The sequence below is a fragment of the Homo sapiens genome, chromosome 8, assembly GCF_000001405.40.
Source record: "Homo sapiens chromosome 8, GRCh38.p14 Primary Assembly".
In the NCBI taxonomy this organism is placed as follows: Eukaryota; Metazoa; Chordata; class Mammalia; order Primates; family Hominidae; genus Homo; species Homo sapiens.
This window is the reverse complement of record NC_000008.11, coordinates 80,014,888-80,034,578: the sequence shown is the minus strand read 5'-3', so window position 1 is coordinate 80,034,578 and position 19,691 is coordinate 80,014,888. Positions and strand designations below refer to the sequence as shown.

At 40.5% G+C, this 19,691-nt stretch overlaps 3 protein-coding genes across 4 annotated transcripts in view, besides 4 other annotated features; all 3 read left to right on the top strand.

Annotated features, from left to right (window-relative positions):
• The window catches only part of TPD52 (tumor protein D52), a 140,483-nt gene extending 136,986 nt beyond the window's left edge, over positions 1-3,497 (top strand). For both annotated transcript variants that reach the window (NM_001387779.1, NM_001387780.1), the window contains one exon: positions 736-3,497. In NM_001387779.1, coding sequence (NP_001374708.1) covers positions 736-765 — 30 coding nt within the window. In that variant the 3' untranslated portion in view covers positions 766-3,497. The remainder of the gene's footprint in view (positions 1-735) is intronic.
• Positions 1-19,691, top strand: part of TPD52-MRPS28 (TPD52-MRPS28 readthrough) — a 252,848-nt gene that overhangs the window by 136,986 nt on the left and 96,171 nt on the right. The gene's annotated exons all lie outside the window — the stretch shown is intronic.
• Positions 4,168-4,597: an enhancer, noted in NCBI's record as "active region_27552". NCBI's record gives its function as "activates an Ori minimal core promoter by ATAC-STARR-seq in GM12878 lymphoblastoid cells {active_cell/tissue: GM12878}" and the evidence as "EXISTENCE:reporter gene assay evidence [ECO:0000049][PMID:35858748]".
• The window catches only part of MRPS28 (mitochondrial ribosomal protein S28), a 111,543-nt gene continuing 96,171 nt past the window's right edge, over positions 4,320-19,691 (top strand). Inside the window, exon 1 of the mRNA NM_014018.3 lies at positions 4,320-4,543. Coding sequence (NP_054737.1) covers positions 4,331-4,543 — 213 coding nt within the window. The 5' untranslated portion in view covers positions 4,320-4,330. The remainder of the gene's footprint in view (positions 4,544-19,691) is intronic.
• Positions 7,891-8,185: a silencer, noted in NCBI's record as "tiled region #3052; HepG2 Repressive DNase matched - State 8:EnhW". NCBI's record gives its function as "represses a minimal TATA promoter and a strong SV40 promoter by Sharpr-MPRA in HepG2 cells {active_cell/tissue: HepG2}" and the evidence as "EXISTENCE:reporter gene assay evidence [ECO:0000049][PMID:27701403]".
• Positions 10,796-10,915: a silencer, noted in NCBI's record as "silent region_19317". NCBI's record gives its function as "represses an Ori minimal core promoter by ATAC-STARR-seq in GM12878 lymphoblastoid cells {active_cell/tissue: GM12878}" and the evidence as "EXISTENCE:reporter gene assay evidence [ECO:0000049][PMID:35858748]".
• Positions 17,531-17,825: a silencer, noted in NCBI's record as "tiled region #4480; HepG2 Repressive non-DNase unmatched - State 23:Low". NCBI's record gives its function as "represses a minimal TATA promoter and a strong SV40 promoter by Sharpr-MPRA in HepG2 cells {active_cell/tissue: HepG2}" and the evidence as "EXISTENCE:reporter gene assay evidence [ECO:0000049][PMID:27701403]".

Here is a 19,691-nt window from a genome sequence, read left to right as displayed (position 1 = left end):
CCCTTAATGATCTTATCCATTTCTATGGGTGAAATGACTATTTTTAGAGTGATACTAATAGCTTCCCAACCGGTATCTCCAGACTTGTTGATGGTGGTGGCCCTCCTTGAGCAGCTGCTGCAAGGACACCAGCTGCAGCAAGGGAAGCATGGCTGGGGGGTTGCAGGCTCTGCAGAAGTGGCAGGGGCCGGCAATAGGTGATCCCAGCAGGAACCCTGCCTTACCATGTTGGCAGGGCAGGAGCTTGTGCTCCTGGGTGCAGCTGCAGCCACCCAGCTGCAGCTCCAGATCCAGGCATCTGTGTGCTCTCGGGGGCCTGGAAAGTCCCCTGCCCATGCAGGCCTGGAAGTGCCTGCTCCAGTTCGGAGCAAAGTTGTGGCTGAGCTTGGGTGCTGTCACAACCTGGCCAGGTGTGTGCATCCTCAGGGTGGTGCTGACATGTCAGGTTCCTGCTACCTCGGCCCCCTCCCAACTATGGGCACCAGTGAGCATGGGAGGGTGGCCAGGGGCTGAGGGTAGCTTGGTGTGGACAGCCTGGGTGCTCTGGATGGCATGTTGATGGTGGCAGGAGGCAGGTTCCTAGGAGGGAAGGGGTGGGTCCCTGTTGAAACCCCACCCTCAAGCCAGGGACAGCCTGAAGCCTGGGGGCCAGGCTGCCAGTTTTAGGTAGAGCCCACAACCCAGAGCGAGAACTCTATTAATGCATTTCGGCTAATCGGATGGTGTTTTTTCCAGGCCCACCCTTCCTCCATTCTGAGCACATAAAAACCCCACACTCAGCCAGACTCAACACTCATCAGGACAACCTGCCTGCAGAAAGGACCACTTTGGGTCTCCTGAGTGCTGTTCTGTCATTCAATAACGCTCCTCTCTGCCTTGCTCACCCTACGGTTGTCCATGTGACTTCATTCTTCCTGGACACAGGACAAGAACTCAGGACCTGCTGAACAGCGGGAGCAAAAGGAACTGTAACATGTTCCTGGCTGGCTTGCCAAGCTGGGGCGGTGACACGCTCCCAGACTGCAGGAGAGAAGAGTGGTGACCCTTCTGGGGACCCAGACCTTGGGATTCCCTGAGCCAGAGCTGCTATAACATTATAGCCTTCCCACCTTTCACCGGCACCAGACAGCTGCCCCACATGACAGGAGGCAGCAGCAGAGCCAGGCCAGCTGAGGAGCCATGGGCTGGAGTGGGGTGGTGGGACTGAAAGAGCTGTAACACAAACGGGCTGAAACAACCCCCCAACAATGTCCCCCCCCCAACCCCCCTCCCCGCCCCGCCGGTCACCACATTGCAGGCAACGAGAAGAGTTGAGCCCTTCTGGGAGCCCACACCTTGGGGTTCCCCAAGCCAGGGCTGTGACATGCTGTAACACCCTCTTTGGGACTCTGAGGTTGCTGGCATCTCTGAGCTTTTGGGTTTTACCACGTTTCCCTTGCCCAGACACTGGTGCCTGCAGAAGCTGGTTGTGGTCCATCTGGTCCAGCTGCAGCCTTGCACAGAGCCGGTGCCTGTAGCTGCTCACCCTGCTGCAGCAGCTGGTGTGCCTGGCTGGGCGCAGTGGCTGGAACCTGCACTCACTTGCTCACGCACCCCTCACCAGCCCATGCCTGGCTCACCCTTGGCAGGTGTGGGATCTGGGCCAGCAGCACAAGATGAGCACAGCCTACTGGGCAGAGTGGGCAGAATGAGCCCAGCAGGCATGAGCAAAACTCCAGCAGAGGCGCTGCAGGCCATGGAAGTTTCCAGCTGGTGAAGCGACATCCTAAGAACTTTGTGACACTATCCTTTCTTCTTGGTTTGCACACATGGTTGAGGCATGAATTTCTAGTAAACTCATGGTCACCTCCACCTAGCCGTCAATAGCTACTATTCATTAAGTGCCCAGGCATCTTACACTCATCACCTTTAACTCTTTACTCAGGCATGTGGCAGTGTCACCATTTTATAGATAAGACCAAAGCCAGTAGCTGTAAAGTATTAGGCTTGAACTTAGCAGTAGAATGAAACTATTTTCTGTTCACTTTCCTTGGCTTTTTTGAGGTGGGGGTCTCACTGTGTTGCCCAGGCTGGCCCTAAACTTCTGGGCTCAAGCGATGTTCCCTCCTCAGCTTCCCGAGTAGCTGAGACTAAAGGTGTGCACTGCTGCCCAGCCAGGCCTGTATTTAATAAAGCAAGGAGTGGTTACAGCAGGATCAGAATCCTTAAGATGGCGTATGTGAAAACATCACTATTACAGAGGATGCTACTCTTGGCACTTGTATAGGCAAGGAGAAAGTTATGCGGACATCCCCCTATTGACTTGTTCAGTTCTTTACAGTCCCTCTCATTTGATGCTTCTGATCCTCTACCAAAGACAGAACTAAGGCCAAATTTGAAGTCATTTGATACAAACTTACTCATTTTTTTTTTTTTTTTTTTTTTTTGAGCTGGAGTCTCGCTCTGTCACCCAGGCTGGAGAACAGTGGTGTGATCTTGGCTCACTGCAACCTCCACCTCCTGGGTTCAAGTGATTCTCCTGCCTCAGCCTCCTGAGTGGATGGGATTACAGCCATGTGTCATCACGCCCAGCTAATTTTTGTATTTTTAGTAGAGACAGGGTTTCACCATGTTGGCCAGGCTGATCTCGAACTCCTGACTTCAGGTGATCTGCCCTCCTTGGCCTCCCAAAGTGCTGGGATTACAGGTGTGAGCCACCACGCCAGGGGTGTGTTTTTACGGATACTTGAGTTTTGCACTTTTCACCCATGCTGGAGTGAAGTGGCAGGAACATAGCTCACTGCAGCCTCAAACTCCTGGGCTCAAGTGATCCTCCTCCATCAGCCTCCCAAGTAGCCGGGACTACAGGCATGCACCACTGCCCCAGGCTGATTTTTCTATTTTTTGGTAGAGACTGGTTCTTGCTATGGCCCAAGCTGGTCTCGGACTCCTCATCTCAAGCAATCCTCCCTCCTCAACCTCACAAAGTGCTGGGATTACAAGTGTAAGCCACCCTGCCCAGTCAGACTGAGGGTTCTTGAAGACCACTGGCCATGCTCTTTACAATTTACCACACTTTCTCCTGAAAAAAAGTGGAAGTAGCACTATCCGTAGAAAATAATGTTCTAGGCAAGAGTCCATTAATAGTCTCGGGAGATAAACAGTTTTAACTGCCAAGAGGGAGAACTCACCTGGAGAATTTAATGAATTTGTAAGGACTACCATACAGTTAGCTAGTAATAATTTTATGTGATTCATACAATTGTGCACCATTCTGAGATCAGTGTACTTCGTGTTCTTAACACTATCTGTACCATTAGAGAGCATCAGAAAAGCTTAAAACCCATAGTCAAGGCATTCTTAAAATAGGGTCTGTGATCATAAAAATTCTTTCTCTCGAAGTACTTGCAAATGAACTGGAAAGGTGTGTGCCCCCAAAATAAAACTAACTGTGGATTAATATTAAACTGCTGGGTCAAAGATAGACGGACAACTAATTAATAAACACTTAAGAATGATGTTAGGCTGTTTTGAACAGGGTGGGTAAATTTTGGGAATTAACACTGCAGGAGAAAAGGGAAAGAAAATCCAGAGTGAGGGTGGGGGCCTACGGCGGTGCAATACTTAGGGACATTCCAAAACTTCTGAACTCCTAAGTTAGATAATAGGTATCTAGAGGTGTCAAAACATTTCAGAAAAACTATTTTTGTGGCGTGAGTGGACTGGCTGCAGAAGTGGCAAAGGACAAACTTGGATGCAGGGTTTGGCAAATGTTGGGTGAGCCCTAATCTGTGCCTGGTGCTAGGGACCCTACAGCAAAGTTCCTCTTTTCAAAGTTTAAAAAGTTGGGAGTAGACACTAAATATTATTAAATATTTAATATTAATATGTGGCATATTAGAAAGTGCTACATGGTACTAAGAAAAACAGGTGCCAGAGAGTCTGCATTTGGGCTTCCACTTCTAAATAGGGTAATCAAGGAGACCCTCATATTTGAGTGAAGACCCCAAACTCGAGTGCTGGCGGCCATGTAGGGGGGACGGCAGGGCGGGAGAACGAGCGTCGCGTTAGCAGAATTTACAGTACAATGGGGTCCAACGGATGCCCAGGAAGGCGAAATTCCTGCAAGTTAAACGCACTTCTAACGCAAAACTTAACCAGGCCCCTTTCCAACTATTTAGCCCACCAATTTTAGCTTAAGTCTCTTCTTCCCCACGCCACTCCCAGATGAAAGGAAGACACGCCTCGTTGGCCTCCAGAGCTCTGCGTCCGGGGGGCGGACCTCTCATAGCTCCGCCCCGTGACCCGCGCGCTTGCGGAGGGGAGGTCAAAGGTCAGAGGTAAAGAAGTCATGGCGGCGCTGTGTCGGACCCGTGCTGTGGCTGCCGAGAGCCATTTTCTGCGAGTGTTTCTCTTCTTCAGGCCCTTTCGGGGTGTAGGCACTGAGAGTGGATCCGAAAGTGGTAGTTCCAATGCCAAGGAGCCTAAGACGCGCGCAGGCGGTTTCGCGAGCGCGTTGGAGCGGCACTCGGAGCTTCTACAGAAGGTGGAGCCCCTACAGAAGGTGGAGCCCGGGCGGGTGAGAGGGAGTCGCGGGAATTACGCCAACGACGCGGTGGGCGGGGTCGGGAATAGGGGCGGAGCCTGGCTTAGGAAGGGGAGCTGAGGTCCGGGGCCCAGTTTTCCGGAGTTGCGGTGCGTTGTGGCTCAGCCCTCGGCCCCTAGAATCTGTGCTTGGTGTTTTTCTTCCTTTCGTTGTCCTTTTGTGTGGCATTTGCGTACTGGGCCGGGTCTGTCCACACTGCGCTTGTTTTCCTGGGATTGAATGCTGGTGGGAAGGTAACCAGCGGGGAGCGCTGCTGGGGAGGCGATCTAGGGCGATTCCTGGGACGCTAAGGAGAATGGGACTCACACGGAGAGGCAGGGCTCTGCTGGGTCTTGTTCTGAACAGTAGCTCTAGCATGGAGCTTGCTGTCTGGAGTAGAAGGCCCTTCATAAACATTTGTTAATTTAATGACTGGGTGATGAATCACTTTCTGAACTTGGGCAAGTGATTTAACTTGTCAGCGCTTCACCTCTCTTTTGTAAATGTCTTCTTTTTTTAAAAAGTAAAGTAAAATCTCCGTTTGTCTCAGCCAGTACTTTTGTAAAATACCATAAATTTATAGATAAATGAAATGGAAGAAATAAAATTACAAGCCTAAGTTTTTAATAATTAAACTCAGCAGACATGAAATTGAATTATATACAAATAAACTCTCAATTTCTGTATTTTTCTTCCTAGGGAGTAGTACCAAACAGTTCACAAGACTGGCAGTGTCCTGGGTTATAGGGTCATTTTAGTAGCAATTACTGATGTCAAAATTTTTCTGAAATCCAAGGACTAGAAGAAGCCTGGTATATTAGTTTATTATTTTCTGTTGTAACAAATTACTACAAATTTAGTGGCGTAAAACACAGGAAATGTGTTGTTGTTAGGGTTGTGAGAAGTCAGACGGGATCTCACTGGTCTAAAATCAAGGTGTTGGTGAAGTTGTGTTCTTTTCCGTAGCTTCTAGGAGAATCTCTTCCTGGCCTGTCTTTTCTGCCTCTGTTTTCTACTTTTTTGTTTTTTGGATTTTTTTGTTTGTTTTGTTGTTTTTTGAGACAGGGTCTCGCTCTGTCACCCACGCTGGAGTGTGGTGGCATGATCTCAGTTCACTGCTAAACCCCCTGGGCTCAAGTGATCCTCCTGCTTCATAGCTGGGACCGCAGGTGTGCACCACCACTCTGGGCTAATTGTTTTTTCTGTTTTTTTTTGTAGAGATGGGGTTTTGCCATGTTGCCCAGGCTGGTCTTGAACTCCTGGGTTCAAGTGATCCTCCTGCGTTGGCCTCCCAAAGTGCTGGGATTACAGATGACAGATGTGAGCCACCTGGCCTGGCTGACCCCGCCCGGCCCCGCCCCCCCCGCCCGTCTTCTGCTTTTGAGATCCCTGTGATTACATTGGCCTCCCTAGATAATCTATTTTAAGATCAGCTGATTAGCAATCTTAATTCCACCTGCAAAGTTAATTCTCCTTTGCCACGGAAGGTAACATATTCACAAATTCTAGAGATTAGGATGTGGATGTCTTTGTAGGGGGAGGGGGCATTATTCTTTCTACCATATATGGAGAAGTCATAAAATACTAGCAGAATAGCGATGATTGACCTGAAGCCACCTAAGGGATGGATTTTAGATCCATCCTTAAGGTAAGGCCATAAGAGTTAAGTGCAGTAAGGTTGGAAACATAGAGTTCAGTGCTCCCTTCCAAATATATGTATAGGAAAGGAGTTTTTCTATTTCTTACCTAATATTTCTCACTCACGCTTCGCTCCCATTCATACCACATTCTAAGCCCCTTCGGAAACCCCCCAAAATAATTCTCAATTGCTGAGTTAACTGTGGTAAGAGTGAAAATTGTAGCATCACATGTATAGTAAGTTAAGTGTTTGAAACTAAAAATGTACTGTTTATTTAATGAAGGAAACAACCAAGGTGTTTTAGAGTCCCCAGAATTCCCTTTCCTTTCCTTTTCTCTTTCCTTTCCTTTCCAAGGCAGTTCTAATTGGGCTGTTCAGTTTTTCCAGGAGGAGGCTGGGGTGTTTCCTGGCAGTCCCAGCACATCCGTTAGATTTTCTCAGTCCAGCTCAGGCTCAGCAGCATCTCTGCACCCTGCGTGGTTGTTCTCCGTCTAACACAGTTTAGAAAACATTATTCTACTAGATGATGGGTAAATGTGTTTGGTTGTGATGTACAGTTCACCAATTTCTTATTCACAAGTCTTTGACATCTTGGTTTAATGGAAATAAAATTCCCTGGGGAGGAGGATATCAGGAGGCTGTGTTGTAGTCTCCGTTCAGCAAGTTCTTAGCTTTGAAGCATTTGAAGTTTACGTGAACCCCTTTACTCCTTCTTAATTGATACCACTGACTTCAGTTGCTCCCTGGTTCAGGTCATTACACACACTGTGGATCAAGTTATCTTCCTAAAGTTGGGCTCTATAATCAGACTTAATGAGGTTATTTACTTATTGCTCTCCTTGAGAATCTTCTAAACCTCCATTCACACTGCCTGCAAGATTAAATATACAATGGTGCATCTCTCTACTGTGGCTTCAGAGGCCTACTGCCATTCAAGACCCTGCTTGGGTTAAAAGCTTCGGCTCAGTTCAGGTTTCCAGTTTCTGCCATCTTTCAACTGAGTGACTTTGGGCAACTTACTTAGCCTATCTAAGTTTGCTGTCTTATCTCAAAGTGGAGATAATGCTTCAACTGGAGTTACTGGGAAGTTTATGTGAAATAATACATTTAACGTGCTCTCAGTACATTGACTGGTACAGAGTAAGCTTTATTCAGTGCATTTTAGCTTTTATGTGGCCCCAGCCGTTTCTTCTCCAGCCTTCTGCCTTCCTGAGAATAGTTTCACAGAGATGCTTCCACAATTACACAGTTCTTTGAAGTCCCATTGTTTTCTTAATAATGAACTTTAATTTATCAAACCGTGTAGATTCATCTCTTGTAACTGATGTACCGCTCTGGTGGGGGATGTTGACAGTGGGGGAAGCTATGTGTGTGTCAGCACAGGAGGGGTATGGGATATGTCTGTACTGTACTCTCAATTTTGCTGTAAACCTAAAAGTACTCTAAAAAATAATTTTTTTTCTTAATGAATGAATATAAAATGCTATTTAAAAACATAAGGCAGTATATGCTCTAACTAGAGGTTGAGCTGTGTCATTCAAAGAGACAATAAAATTAAGTTTTTCATGGCAAAAAGCCCAAAACCAAACAAAAAACACCAGAAAACAACCATGCACATGCCATTTTTTTTAATCCCAAATGTAAGGACATTCGTCATCACTAATATGTTAACTTGTGGTGCCAGAGTAACACATGACACATCAGAATAAAATTTTTACTAACTTTTTTCCCAGTAGAAAATGTTTCAGGAGGTCAGAGACCTTGTCTTTCTTATTCTGTTGTATTTCCAGTGCCTAGCACAGTCCTTGACCCATAGTGGGCACTCGGTAAATATTTGTCAAATGTGTGAATGAATGAATAGTACATGTAGTGCATATTTGAACTTCAGTTATACCTGGCCTGTCGTTGAATTGTAATATATGTGTCACTGTCCACAAACAATTGTACAAGAATAGTACAGTCTTGAGCATGTCAGTTGAATGTGCCTGTCCAGAATAATTGAGTAAAAATAATTTTAAGAGTAGTAAGAAATTGAAAATACCACATTAGTTTTAGTTTTAGTATTTACTGGAAGTTTTCAGTGTTTTTCTAACATATTTATGGTAAGGAATATGAGGAGTTGTTGGGTATTGATAGGAATTCAACTTGTGAAAAAACTTGCTTTACCTCTTTTGAACTTACTGGACCTATTTAATTGAACAGTATCGTGAGATTACAAGATGAATAAACGCCAATTGTGTATTCAGGGTTTTTGAAAAAATATTGTTTACAAATTTTACAAAAGTAATATTTGGTTACTTTAGAAAGAAAATTTACATAGCCCTGCAGGTTATTATGTGAAATGTAAAAGTCCCTTTTTCTTACTTTCTCAAGGCTGGAGAGTGTGTTTTTTATGCATAGCTGCAGAGTTTTATATTACACACGTAAGTATAAGCTAAGTATTGCTATATATATTTAAAAACATTAATTGGTTCGTAGTATGAATACTGTTTTAAAATATATTACAGTTAAAGAGTGTAAATTCTGCAGTCATGCAATCTTGGTTTAAATCCTGGTTCCTCTACCATTTACTAGCTGTGTTGCCTTGGAAAATTACTTAATATCTGTGTATCTCCTTTTCCCCCTATGTCATGAGATTTTTATGAGATTCAATGAATTCATTATTTAAAACACTTAACACAAGTGCCTGATACTTAATAAGCACTTAGTATGTTTTAGTTGCTGCTGCTGAAAATTGCAGTTTTTACCTAAGTATGACTATTTTTCCTTATCATTACATAATATTTGCTTGGTATTCCATGGTGTGGATGTAGCATAATTTATTTAAGTAGGAAGGCCTTAATTATTGAACTTTTAGGTTGTTTCTGTTTGTTTTTGTTTTCTAACACAGTGTTGCAGTGAACATTTGCATTTTTTGCGTACTTACAAGAGTGTATTTGTAGGTTATATGTTGGGTAAAAGTGTACACACAATTTGAGTTACAGCCTGTTTGTACTGAACTCCCACCTACAGTGCATGACAATGTTTCCTCACCCCCGTATCAACTCATGGGGTGTAATAGGTGGATTTTCTTGATATTCGACAATTAAAGCAAAATATAGAAATTGGAAACTGGGGTTATCATCTTTCATTCCTGATTTCAGTTTTTGATTTTTATCATAACTGCATGTTGACAGTTTTTGACTTTATAGTAAGTGCTATCAATTTGAACTCATAAAATGCACTTAAAATAACAAAATACTACATTTACACTATATATATTGGGATTGTATGTAAGATTTCATTTGTAAAATGGTTTCTGCTTAAAATATTCTTTTTGAAGATGAATTTTGCTGTTCCCTAAACAAATCATTATTTCTTTACCTTTTACCCTGGAATTAGCTTCCCTGCTGCAAATTCTGTTGTAAAAATCACCTCCTCTCTTAGACCTTTGTGATCTCACCAAACAGATGAAACTGTTTTTGAATGCTCTGGAGTTTTGTGTTTTACTACCTTTATGGTATACCCACAGCTCTCATAGTAAAGTCATTTACAAACCTGTTTTATCCTGTTTTCTAGCTGTAGTTCCTGAAGAACAAGGGGCCATTTTCAGTCCACCCTCTTCATCCTTTGCATAATGCTTTACACTTAAGTAGGGATTGAGTATATATTTGCTGATTTAAGTTGGAATGAAATTTAAACAGTTTGATGGTTGAATAATTACAAATGAAAAATAGCATCTCAGATGGCCTATTATTAGACTTAAAAATATGTATATGGTGAAAGTCCAAGTTTTACCTATTGATTTAGTTCTTATAGTCATTAAAGTGTAGACTTACTTACATGTGGACCTCAGAAATAAGCCCATACACATTATCCTTACAAAGAACTTTCCCCTGCAGCCAGGAATTTAATCAAGAGCAATGCATCATGAAGTTCTTATCCTATTACACACTCGGGTTACTAGTTAAAGGGAACCGAAGTTAAATGGCATTAAGTGTAATGCCATTGTTCTGTATGGTGGTTGTAGGTTCCATACTCATCCCATGCTCACTTACCTACTTTTCTTTTACTTTGCTTCATTAGCTTTAATATTGGTTTATGCATCTTTCCCTTCAACTAGTTTTGTTTTGTTTTTAGAGTAGCAACCAAATCTTTTTTTTTTTTCCAGACAGGGTCTTGCTCTGTTGCTGAGGCTGGGGTGCAGTGGTGCAAACTTGGCTCACTGCAACCTCTCTCCCTTGGCTCAGGTGATTCTCCCACCTCAGCCTCCTGAGAAGCTGGGACCATAGCTGTGCGTCACCATGCCTGGCTGATTTTTGTATTTTTTTGTAGAGATGGGGTTTTGCCATATTGCCCAGGCTGCTCTCGCACTTCTGGGCTCAGGCAATTTGCCTGCCCTAGCCTCCCAAAATGCTGGGATTACAGGTGTGAGCCACCACACCAGGCCGTCCCATTCATTTTTATAACCATTTAAGTCAGGTACCATTTTCCCTCCATTTTTAAAACCTTAATCCTTCTTATGTCACTTAGACAATATAAATTTGTAGAATCTGTTAAGGCAATTGGGAGCTGTGCTATGGCATATAACTCATCTCGTAGCCACAAGGTGGCAATAGTTGAGCAAAGAATTGGTTTTTCTGCTTTATGACTCTTAGCAGTAGAGGGTGGCATGCTACTTTTCAGAACATTGGAAAAAATGTTTTTCAGAGAGTTTTAGGGCTGCACAGTAAAAATTTTACTCAAATTTTAAATTTATTTAAAATACTGATGTTACATGACAGTTTATAGTTTTACCTTATTTTAGCAATATATTAGATTTCATGCAAATATTTTTAAATGTAATTTTTTACTTTTTTGTGAATATTTTTATTAGTATTTTTTATTTCAAAATATTCGAATATTCCAGAAGACAGAATATCTAAAATCAGATGTTCAATCCTTTCAGAATACTGGAAAAATAAAAATATATAGATTTAAAGGGCTTATTTCAATATAATAGGGAAATTAATTTATTTTTAGTATAATTTTTAAGTCCACTAAATTCATATACTGTAATAGTAAAATTATATAGTTTTACTTAACCCTTTGTTTTCTTATCAGTTTTACTGACAACTTTAAGAATTATACCAGTGTTTTAAAAACTATTTGATATGTAAAGGAATGATGGAAAATGTTTCTGGTTTTAACGATGGTGCCAACCTGTTTTTACATTATAGAATTCTAGGAGAATTACCTCTGAGTAATAAAAATCTTTTGAAATGTTGTATGTCTCACATTTTCAAAGCATGTTTAGAGGAAATGACCAGTTAATATATAAACAATGAAATAGTGAAGAAGTACATAGAATTCTCTGGGGAAAGTAGGTTTTTGTTAACACCTGTAACATGCTTATAAGCAGTACTATACATTTCTTAAAAGAAAAGATGTATATGTTCTGTATGTATTTTGTTTTTGGGTGGTCATATGATCTGATTATACCCAATCAGACTCATGACTTCCCAAGCCAACCTTAGGTTTTTCACTATTTGGAGATCGTAACTCTCATTTTTACTCAGAAATTTCACTTCCATCTTTTAATGTGTCTAAGTTTGCTTCTAAGGCTACACTTAAATTTTTCTCTTTTAATCACTTTAATTTTTATAACCTGATTATGGCCCTTAAGTTTTTTATCTATTGGCATTAAATATCAGGAAATAAGAGCAATTAAGCACATTCAAGTGGAGCCTGGTTTGTTGGGATTTGGGAATAAAACTAAATAGTCTTGATTCAGTTTGGGTTTTGCCTACCTTTTTAAAGCTTTGGAGATTCCATTGTTGACAACTGCCAGGAAATGAGTGGTGGACTCAGTCTAGGAGTTGGCAGCTGAACAAGTTGCCTGGCCTCTGGCCAGCTACCCAAATTGAGATGGTTGGATTCTCTGAAGGGACATAAATGTACACTGAGAACTGGGTGTCACTGGGACACACAGTATTTATCCCAAAGAAATGAAATGTTCCTAACAGCTTCATTTGTAATAGCCAAAAACTGAAAGCAGCCTAGATGTCCTTCAGCTGTTGAATGGTTAAACAAACTGTGGTACATCCTTACCGTGGAATACTACTTAGCAGTAAAAAGTAATGAGTGTTTGATACACAAAATAATTTGAATGACTCAAAGGAATTATGCTGAGTGAAAAAAAAAAAGCCAGTCCCAAAAAGTTACATATGGTGTGATTTCATTTATACAACATTTTTGAAATGGCAGAATTATAGAGATGGAGAACAGGTCAGTGCTTACTAGGAGTTAGGAAGGAGGGAGGTAAAAGGGATATGTGGAGTTACAAAAGGACAGCACAAGGAATCCTTGTGGTAATGGACTTGTTCTGCATTTTGACTGTGATGGCCAGTACAGAACCTTTACATGTAATAAAATTGCATTGATGATTACGTGTATAACTGGTGAAATCTGAATATTGGTGGATTGTGTCAATGTCAATTTCCTAGTTGTGATATCATACTATAGTCTTCTAAAATGTTACCATTGGGAGCCCTGGGTAAGGGTGCAGGGGCTCTCTATGTATTCTTGGTTACAATTGCATGTGAATCTACAATGATTTTTAAATAGAAAGTTAATTTTTTTTAAAGGGAGCATTTCACTGGTCTCTCGGGCCCAGCACTGATAAGACCATTGAATTCCATAAACATGTGACAGTTATCCCACATTATTTCCTGTAAGGTAATTTTTTGTTGTTAGAAGCAATGCAGTGTAGAATACCAGAAAAATCCAAGAATAGTTAGAAGTAAAGTTCCACATGCCTACCTGCATACCTTAGCCTTTAGTCAGACAACTTCTGTCTTACTAGAAACCTTAAAAGCATCCCTTGGTCCCAGTCTATGCATCTGTCAGCATCTGGCTTACAGCTCTGCTCATAAAATGAGAGAGAGACTGACTGTCCAGTCTCCTTTTGTAACTGTTTTTCCCTATCTAGCATAATGTTTCTCCTGCTCCCACGATATACCACTATTACAGAGATTTCTAAACTTTTTTGATCATGTCCCTTCATTAATAAATTTTTGAGCAGATGTTCCAGTATTTACTTAAAAAATACATTTGTGGCTGGGCGCAGTGGCTCACACCTGTAATCCCAGCGCTTTGGGAGACCAAGGTGGGCGGAACATGAGGTCAAGAGATCAAGACCATCCTGACCAACATGGTGAAACCCTGTCTTTACTAAAAATACAAAAATTAGCCGGGCATGGTGGCTCATGCCTGTAGTCCCAGCTACTCGGGAGGCTAAGGCGGGAGAATTGCTTGAACATGGGAGGCGGAGGTTGCAGTGAGTCGAGATTGTGCCACTGCACTCCAGCCTAGCGCCAGAAAGAGACCCAGTCTCAAAAAAAAAAAAAAAGTGTGTGTGTGCGAATATATATATTCGTACTGTAGTTTCTTTTGTTATATACATTTTAAAGCATTTACACATAAAAACATTTTGAAGGTGAAGTTAAAAAAAACAAATAGAAATTCCAGTGTTTTCTTCTTCTGTCCTATGGGTTATGATAGAGATCACTATTCTTTGTTACAACCTGACCTTTTTCCTTCAGGCCTGCTCTGTAAATGTGTGTTCGTTGGCCACAAATTTCCTATGTCTTTTTACGAACAATCTCCCCTTTAACCTTCTCTACAAGTATTTCTTGCTTGCTTTCTTGGTTTCCCTTGATAACACTGCTTCCCTTCTGGTCTTCCCTAGTATAGATTGCAACGGGTCTCAAGGCTAGGAGGAAAAAATGACTCATCTTCGTTCTCGTTTCTCAGTACCATTTCAGACTACTGTTCTATCAGAAATACTTTAAAAAGGCTCCTTGATAAAAATCTTTTCAATTCTTTCCATTTTTCGTCAGCATCTGGCTCACAGCTTTTCTCTTTTCTTCATACTTACCATTTTCATTGACCAGCATTTACATTTGTAAACCAAAAATAAAATTCTAAAGCCCCCTCAACCATCTGAATGGACCCCTCCTGTCAGCCAAGGGCGTTCCAAAGTTAACCTGAAAAACTAGTGCAGGCCGTGATGGGAAGGGGGAGCCAGACGTGCCTCATTATACCTCCCTCCTTTCAGAATTAGTGATAGAAATGACTCTTTAAGTCTAGTAAGAAACATTTACAATCTGTTTTCTCTGAAGCCTGCTACCTGGACGCTTCATCTGCATGATAAAACCATACTCTCCACAATGCCTTATGGTCACGCAGACATTCCTTTCTATTGATAATAACCCTTTCAACCAATTGCCAATCAGAAAATCTTTAAATCTACCTATGACCTGGAAGCCACCCTCGCAACCTGCTTCTAGTTCTCCTGCCTTTCTGGACTGAACCAGTGTAACCAATGTACATCTTACACGTATTGATTGATGTCTCATGTCTCCCTAAATTGTATAAAACCAAGCTGTACCCTGACTTCCTTGGGCACGTGTCTCAGGACCTCCTTAGGCTGTGTCATGGGCGTGTCCTTAACCTTGGCAAAATAAACTTTCCAAATTGATTTAGACCTGTCTCATACTCTTGGTTTACACATTAATGACTACCAATACTTTGGCCACATAGTTTTTTGTATATTAACCTTATATTGTGTAATGTTGCTGTAATTACTTATTCCAGGAGGTTTTTTTCTTGTTGATTCTTTTTGATTTTCTACATAGGTCATCATGCCATCCATGATCATACACAGTTTTATTTCTTCCTTCCCAATCTGTATACTTTTATTTTTTCTTTTTGTCTTATTGCATTAGCTAGGACTTCTAGTACAATGTTGAAAAGCAGTGATGAGAGGGGACATCCTTGCCTTCTTCCTGTGCTTAGTAGGAAAAGTTTCAAGTTACTTACCATTACATATGTAGGTTTTTTGTAGATATTCTTTAGGAAGTTGAAGCTTTCTCTAGTTTTCTGAGAGTTACTATTATGAATGGGTATTGGGTTTTGTCAAATGCTTTTCCATTTGACGAAATGAAATACGACCATGTGATTTTTCTTCTTTAGCCAATTGATGTGATGGATTACATTTTTTTTCTATTTTTAATTTTTGTGGGTACATAGTAGGTGTATATGCTTAGGGGGCACACGAGATACTTTGATACAGGCATATAACATGTAATAATCACATCATAGTAAATAGAGTATCCATTCCTTCAAGCATTTACTCTTTGTGTTAACAATCAAATTAAACTCTTTTAGTTATTTTTAAATATACAGTTAAATAATTATTGCTTATCACCCTGTTGTGCTCTCAAACACTAGGTCTTACTCATTCTTTCTAACTACTCTTTGTACCCATTAACCATCCCCACCCCCTTATATACTATAAGTATACTATATCACATATAGGGGAGTGGGGATGGTTAATAGGTACAAACCCCCAATACCCTTCCCAGCGTCTGGGTAACCATCCTTCTACTCTGTCTCCATGAGTTCAATTGTTTAAATTTTTAACTCCCACAGATAATAACATGTAAAGTTTGTCTTTCTGTGCCTGGCTTATTTCACGTAACGTAATGACCTCTGGTTCTATCCATGTTGTTGCAAGTGACAGGATCTCATTCTTTTTTATGACTGAATAGTAGTACTGCATTGTGTATATGTACCACATTTTCTTTATCCATTCATCTGTTGATGGGCACTTAGGTTGCTTTCAAATTTTGGCTATTGTGAACAGAGCTACAGCAAACATGGGAAATGTCTCTTCAGTATACTGATTTCCTTTCTTTGGGGTATAAAACCAGCAGTGGGATTGCTGGATCATATGGTGGCTCTATTTTTAGTTTTGGTTATTTGTTTTTTGTGGAACTTCAAACTGTTTTTCAGAGTGGTTGTACTAATTTATGTTCCCGCTAACAGTATATGATGGTTCCCTTTTCTCCACATCCTCATCAGCATGTATTACTGCTGGTCTTTTGGATAAAAGCCATTTTAACTGGGGTGAGATGATATCTCATTGTAGGTTTGATTTGCATTTCTCTGATGATAATGATGTTGAGCACTTTTTCATAAGCCTGTTTGCCATTTGTATGTCTTCTTTCGAGAAAGGTCCATTCAGATTATTTGCCTTTTTTTTTTTTTTTTTTTTTTGAGACAGAGTATTGCTCTGTCTCCCAGGCTGGATTGCAGTGGCACGATCTCGGCTCACTGCGAGCTCTGCCTCCTTCCGGGTTCATGCCATTCTCCCGCCTCAGCCTCCCCAGTAGCTGGGACTACAGGCGCCTGCCACCATGCCCTGCTAGTTTTGTTTTTGTATTGTTAGTAGAGATGGGGTTTCACCATGTTAACCAGGATAGTCTTGATATCCTGACCTTGTGATCCGCCCGCCTCGGCCTCCCAAAGTGCAGGGATTATAGGCGTGAGATTATTTGCCTATTTTAAAGTTGGATTATTAGAATTTTTTTCCTATAGAGTTGTTTGAACTCCTTATATATCCTGGTTATTAATGCTTTGTCTACATTTTGATTTTTGAATGTTAAACCTGTCGTAAGTCTCAGTTGTGGTATATAATTTTTATATGTTGTTGGATTTGATTTGCTAATATTCTGTTGAGGATTTTTGCATCTACATGCATGAGAAATATTGGTCTGTAGTTTTCTTTTCTTGTAATGTCTTTGTGTGGTTTTGATATTAAGATATTACTGTCCTCATAGGATAAGTTCCACTCCTATCTTCTGAAAGAGATTGTAGAGAATTGGTTTGATTTCTTCTTTAAATGTTTGGTAGAACTCACCAGTGAACCCATATGGACCTGGGGCTTTCTGTTTTGGAAGTATATTAATTACTGATTTAATGTCTTTAATAGACATAGGCCTATTCAGATTATCTGTTCTTCTTACTTGAATTTTGGCAGACTTTGTCTTTCAAGGAATTAATCCATTTAATTTAGGTTATCAAATCTGTGGGTATAGAGTTGTTTATAGTATTTCTTTAATGTTCATGGGATATGTAGTGATGTCCTCTCTTTCATTTCTATTATTAGTAATTTGTGTCCTCTCTTTTTGTTTTTCTTAGTCTGGCTAGAAGCTTACCTCAAATAACCAACTTTTGCTTTCGTTGATTCTATTGATTTCCTGTTTTCAGTTTCATTGCTTTCTGTGCTAATTTTTATTTTAGATAAGTTGTGTTTTCATTTTCATTTAGTTCAAAGTATTTTTAAATTTCTCTTGAGATTTGTTTGACTCATGTTATTTAGACGTGTATTTGTTTACTCTAAGAATTTTGGGATTTTTGAGCTATCTTTCTATTCCTGATTTCTAGTTAAATTCTAGTGTGGTCTGAAAGCAGACATTGCATGATTTCTATTCCTTTAAATTTGTTAAGGTGTGTTTTATGGTCCAGAATGTGGTCTGTTTTGGTGACTGTTTCATGTGGCATGAGAAGAATATATATTCTGCTGTTGCTGGATGAAATTGTCTACAGATGTCCATCATATCCAGTTGATTTATGATGTTGTTGAGTTCAGCTATATCCTGAGTGATTTTCTCCCTGCTGGATCTGTCCTTTTCTGATAGAGGGACATTAAAGTCTCCAACTGTAATGATTCATCTATTTTTCCTTGCAGTTTTGTCAGTTTTTGCCTCATGGTTTTTGACTATTTTTAGGCATGTACACATTAAGGATTATTCCGACTTCTTCAGATAATTAACCCTTTTATTATTAGCAAATTGTTTAACATGAACAAACTGTTAATTGTTAGATCAATTACTAATTAAAAACTTAAAAGTTTTAATTTTACCTTCACATATTCCTTCTCTGTGTTCTGCCTTTCTTTATGTAATGTAGATCTGAGTTTTTGACTTTTATAATTTTCTTCTTTCTAAAGAATTTCTTTAAACATTTCTTGCAAGGCAGGTCTACTTGCAACAAATTCCCTCAATTTTTATTTGTCTGAGAAAGTCTTTAATTCTCCTTCATTTTTGAAGGATAACTTGTCAGGGTACAGAATTCTAGGTTAGTATTTTTTTTTTTTGTTTCCTCTTAACACTTTAGATATCTCACTCCACTGTTTTCTTGATTGCATGATTTATGAGGAGAAGCTGGATATAATTTTTATCTTTTCTCCTCTGTAGGAAAGCTGTTTTCCCCCCAAGCTTCTTTTAGAATTTTTTCTTCATCTTTGATTTTTCTGTAGTTTGAAAATGATACTATATGCCTAGATGTAGTGTTTTTGGTGTTTATTCTGGTTGATGTCCTCTGAGCTTCCTGGATCTGTGGTTTGGTGTCTGATATTAATTTGAAGGAAAGTCTTAGTCATTATTGTTTCAAATATTTCTGCTGTATTTGTCTTTCTTCTCCTTCTAGAATTCCCATTAGTTTACACCTTTTGTAGTTGTCCCAAAGTTCTTGAATATTCTGTTCAATTTTTCCCTCAATCTTTTTTCTCTTTGCTTTTCAGTTTTGGCAGTTTTTATTGAGGTATCTTCAGAGTCACAGTTTTTTTTTTTCCTCAGCTGTGTCATCTACCTGTAAGCCCATCAAAGGCATTCTTCATTTCTGTTACAGGGCTTTCGATCTCTAGCATTTCTTTTTGATTCTTATTTAAAATTTCCATCTTTCTGCGTACATTGCTTATCTGTTCTTACATCTTATTTCTTCCGTTAGAGCCCTTAGTGTCTTAATCATAGTTGTATTAGATGCCTGGACTGATAATTTCAGTATCCTTGCTGTGTCTGAATCTGGTTCTGATCCTTGCTCTGTCTCTTCAAACTGTGTTTTTTGCTTTTTTGTCTATCTTGTAATTTCTTTTTGATAGCTGGGCATGATGTATTGGGTAAAAGGAATGGCTGTCAATCGGCCTTTAGTAATGTGGTGATAGGGTGTGTGGGGAGGGAAAGTGTTCTATAGTCTTATGAGTGGGTCTCAGTCTTCTAGTGAGCCTGTGCCTCTGGACTATGAACTGCACATTTGCTTCTCAGTGTTTCCCTCTCTTTTGGTAGGACAGAATGACTAGTGCCAGCTAGAATTGGTTATTTCCCTTCCTCCAGGACACTTAGGCTCTGACAAGTGTTTAGGCTTTGGTTGAAGAGTTTCCTTGAGGACACATGTCATATGCATGATAGTTTTATATATGTGCTTAATGTATATTAAAAAGACAACACCTGTTTGATAAATGAATTGTTGAATAAGAGAGAGTGCTCTGATGTATTTCAAAATAGTTCTATTCCCCACAGAACTTGCCGTCTGAAGTACAAGGGGATTTTTCTCCTATATTCACTGTAAGGACCAGGTTGAGCTCCTGGAGTTAAAACTCACAAAAGTGTGAGAGTCCCCAATAACTGAGTCTCTCTGGAGTTTTTAACTTTCAGACTTGTCCCACTGAGCATCCACCAATTCACCAGTTACAGCTCGGGTTTCCCTACCTCGGCACTGGTTCCCACAGAGGTTTCTTCTTGGAGGCTTCTTTTCAGTAGTTCTCTGCATTCACTTGTCTCTCCACATTTGAGAACAGCAGTTTTCCCTGTGACCCCCACCTCTCAGATGCATCTAAGAAGAGTT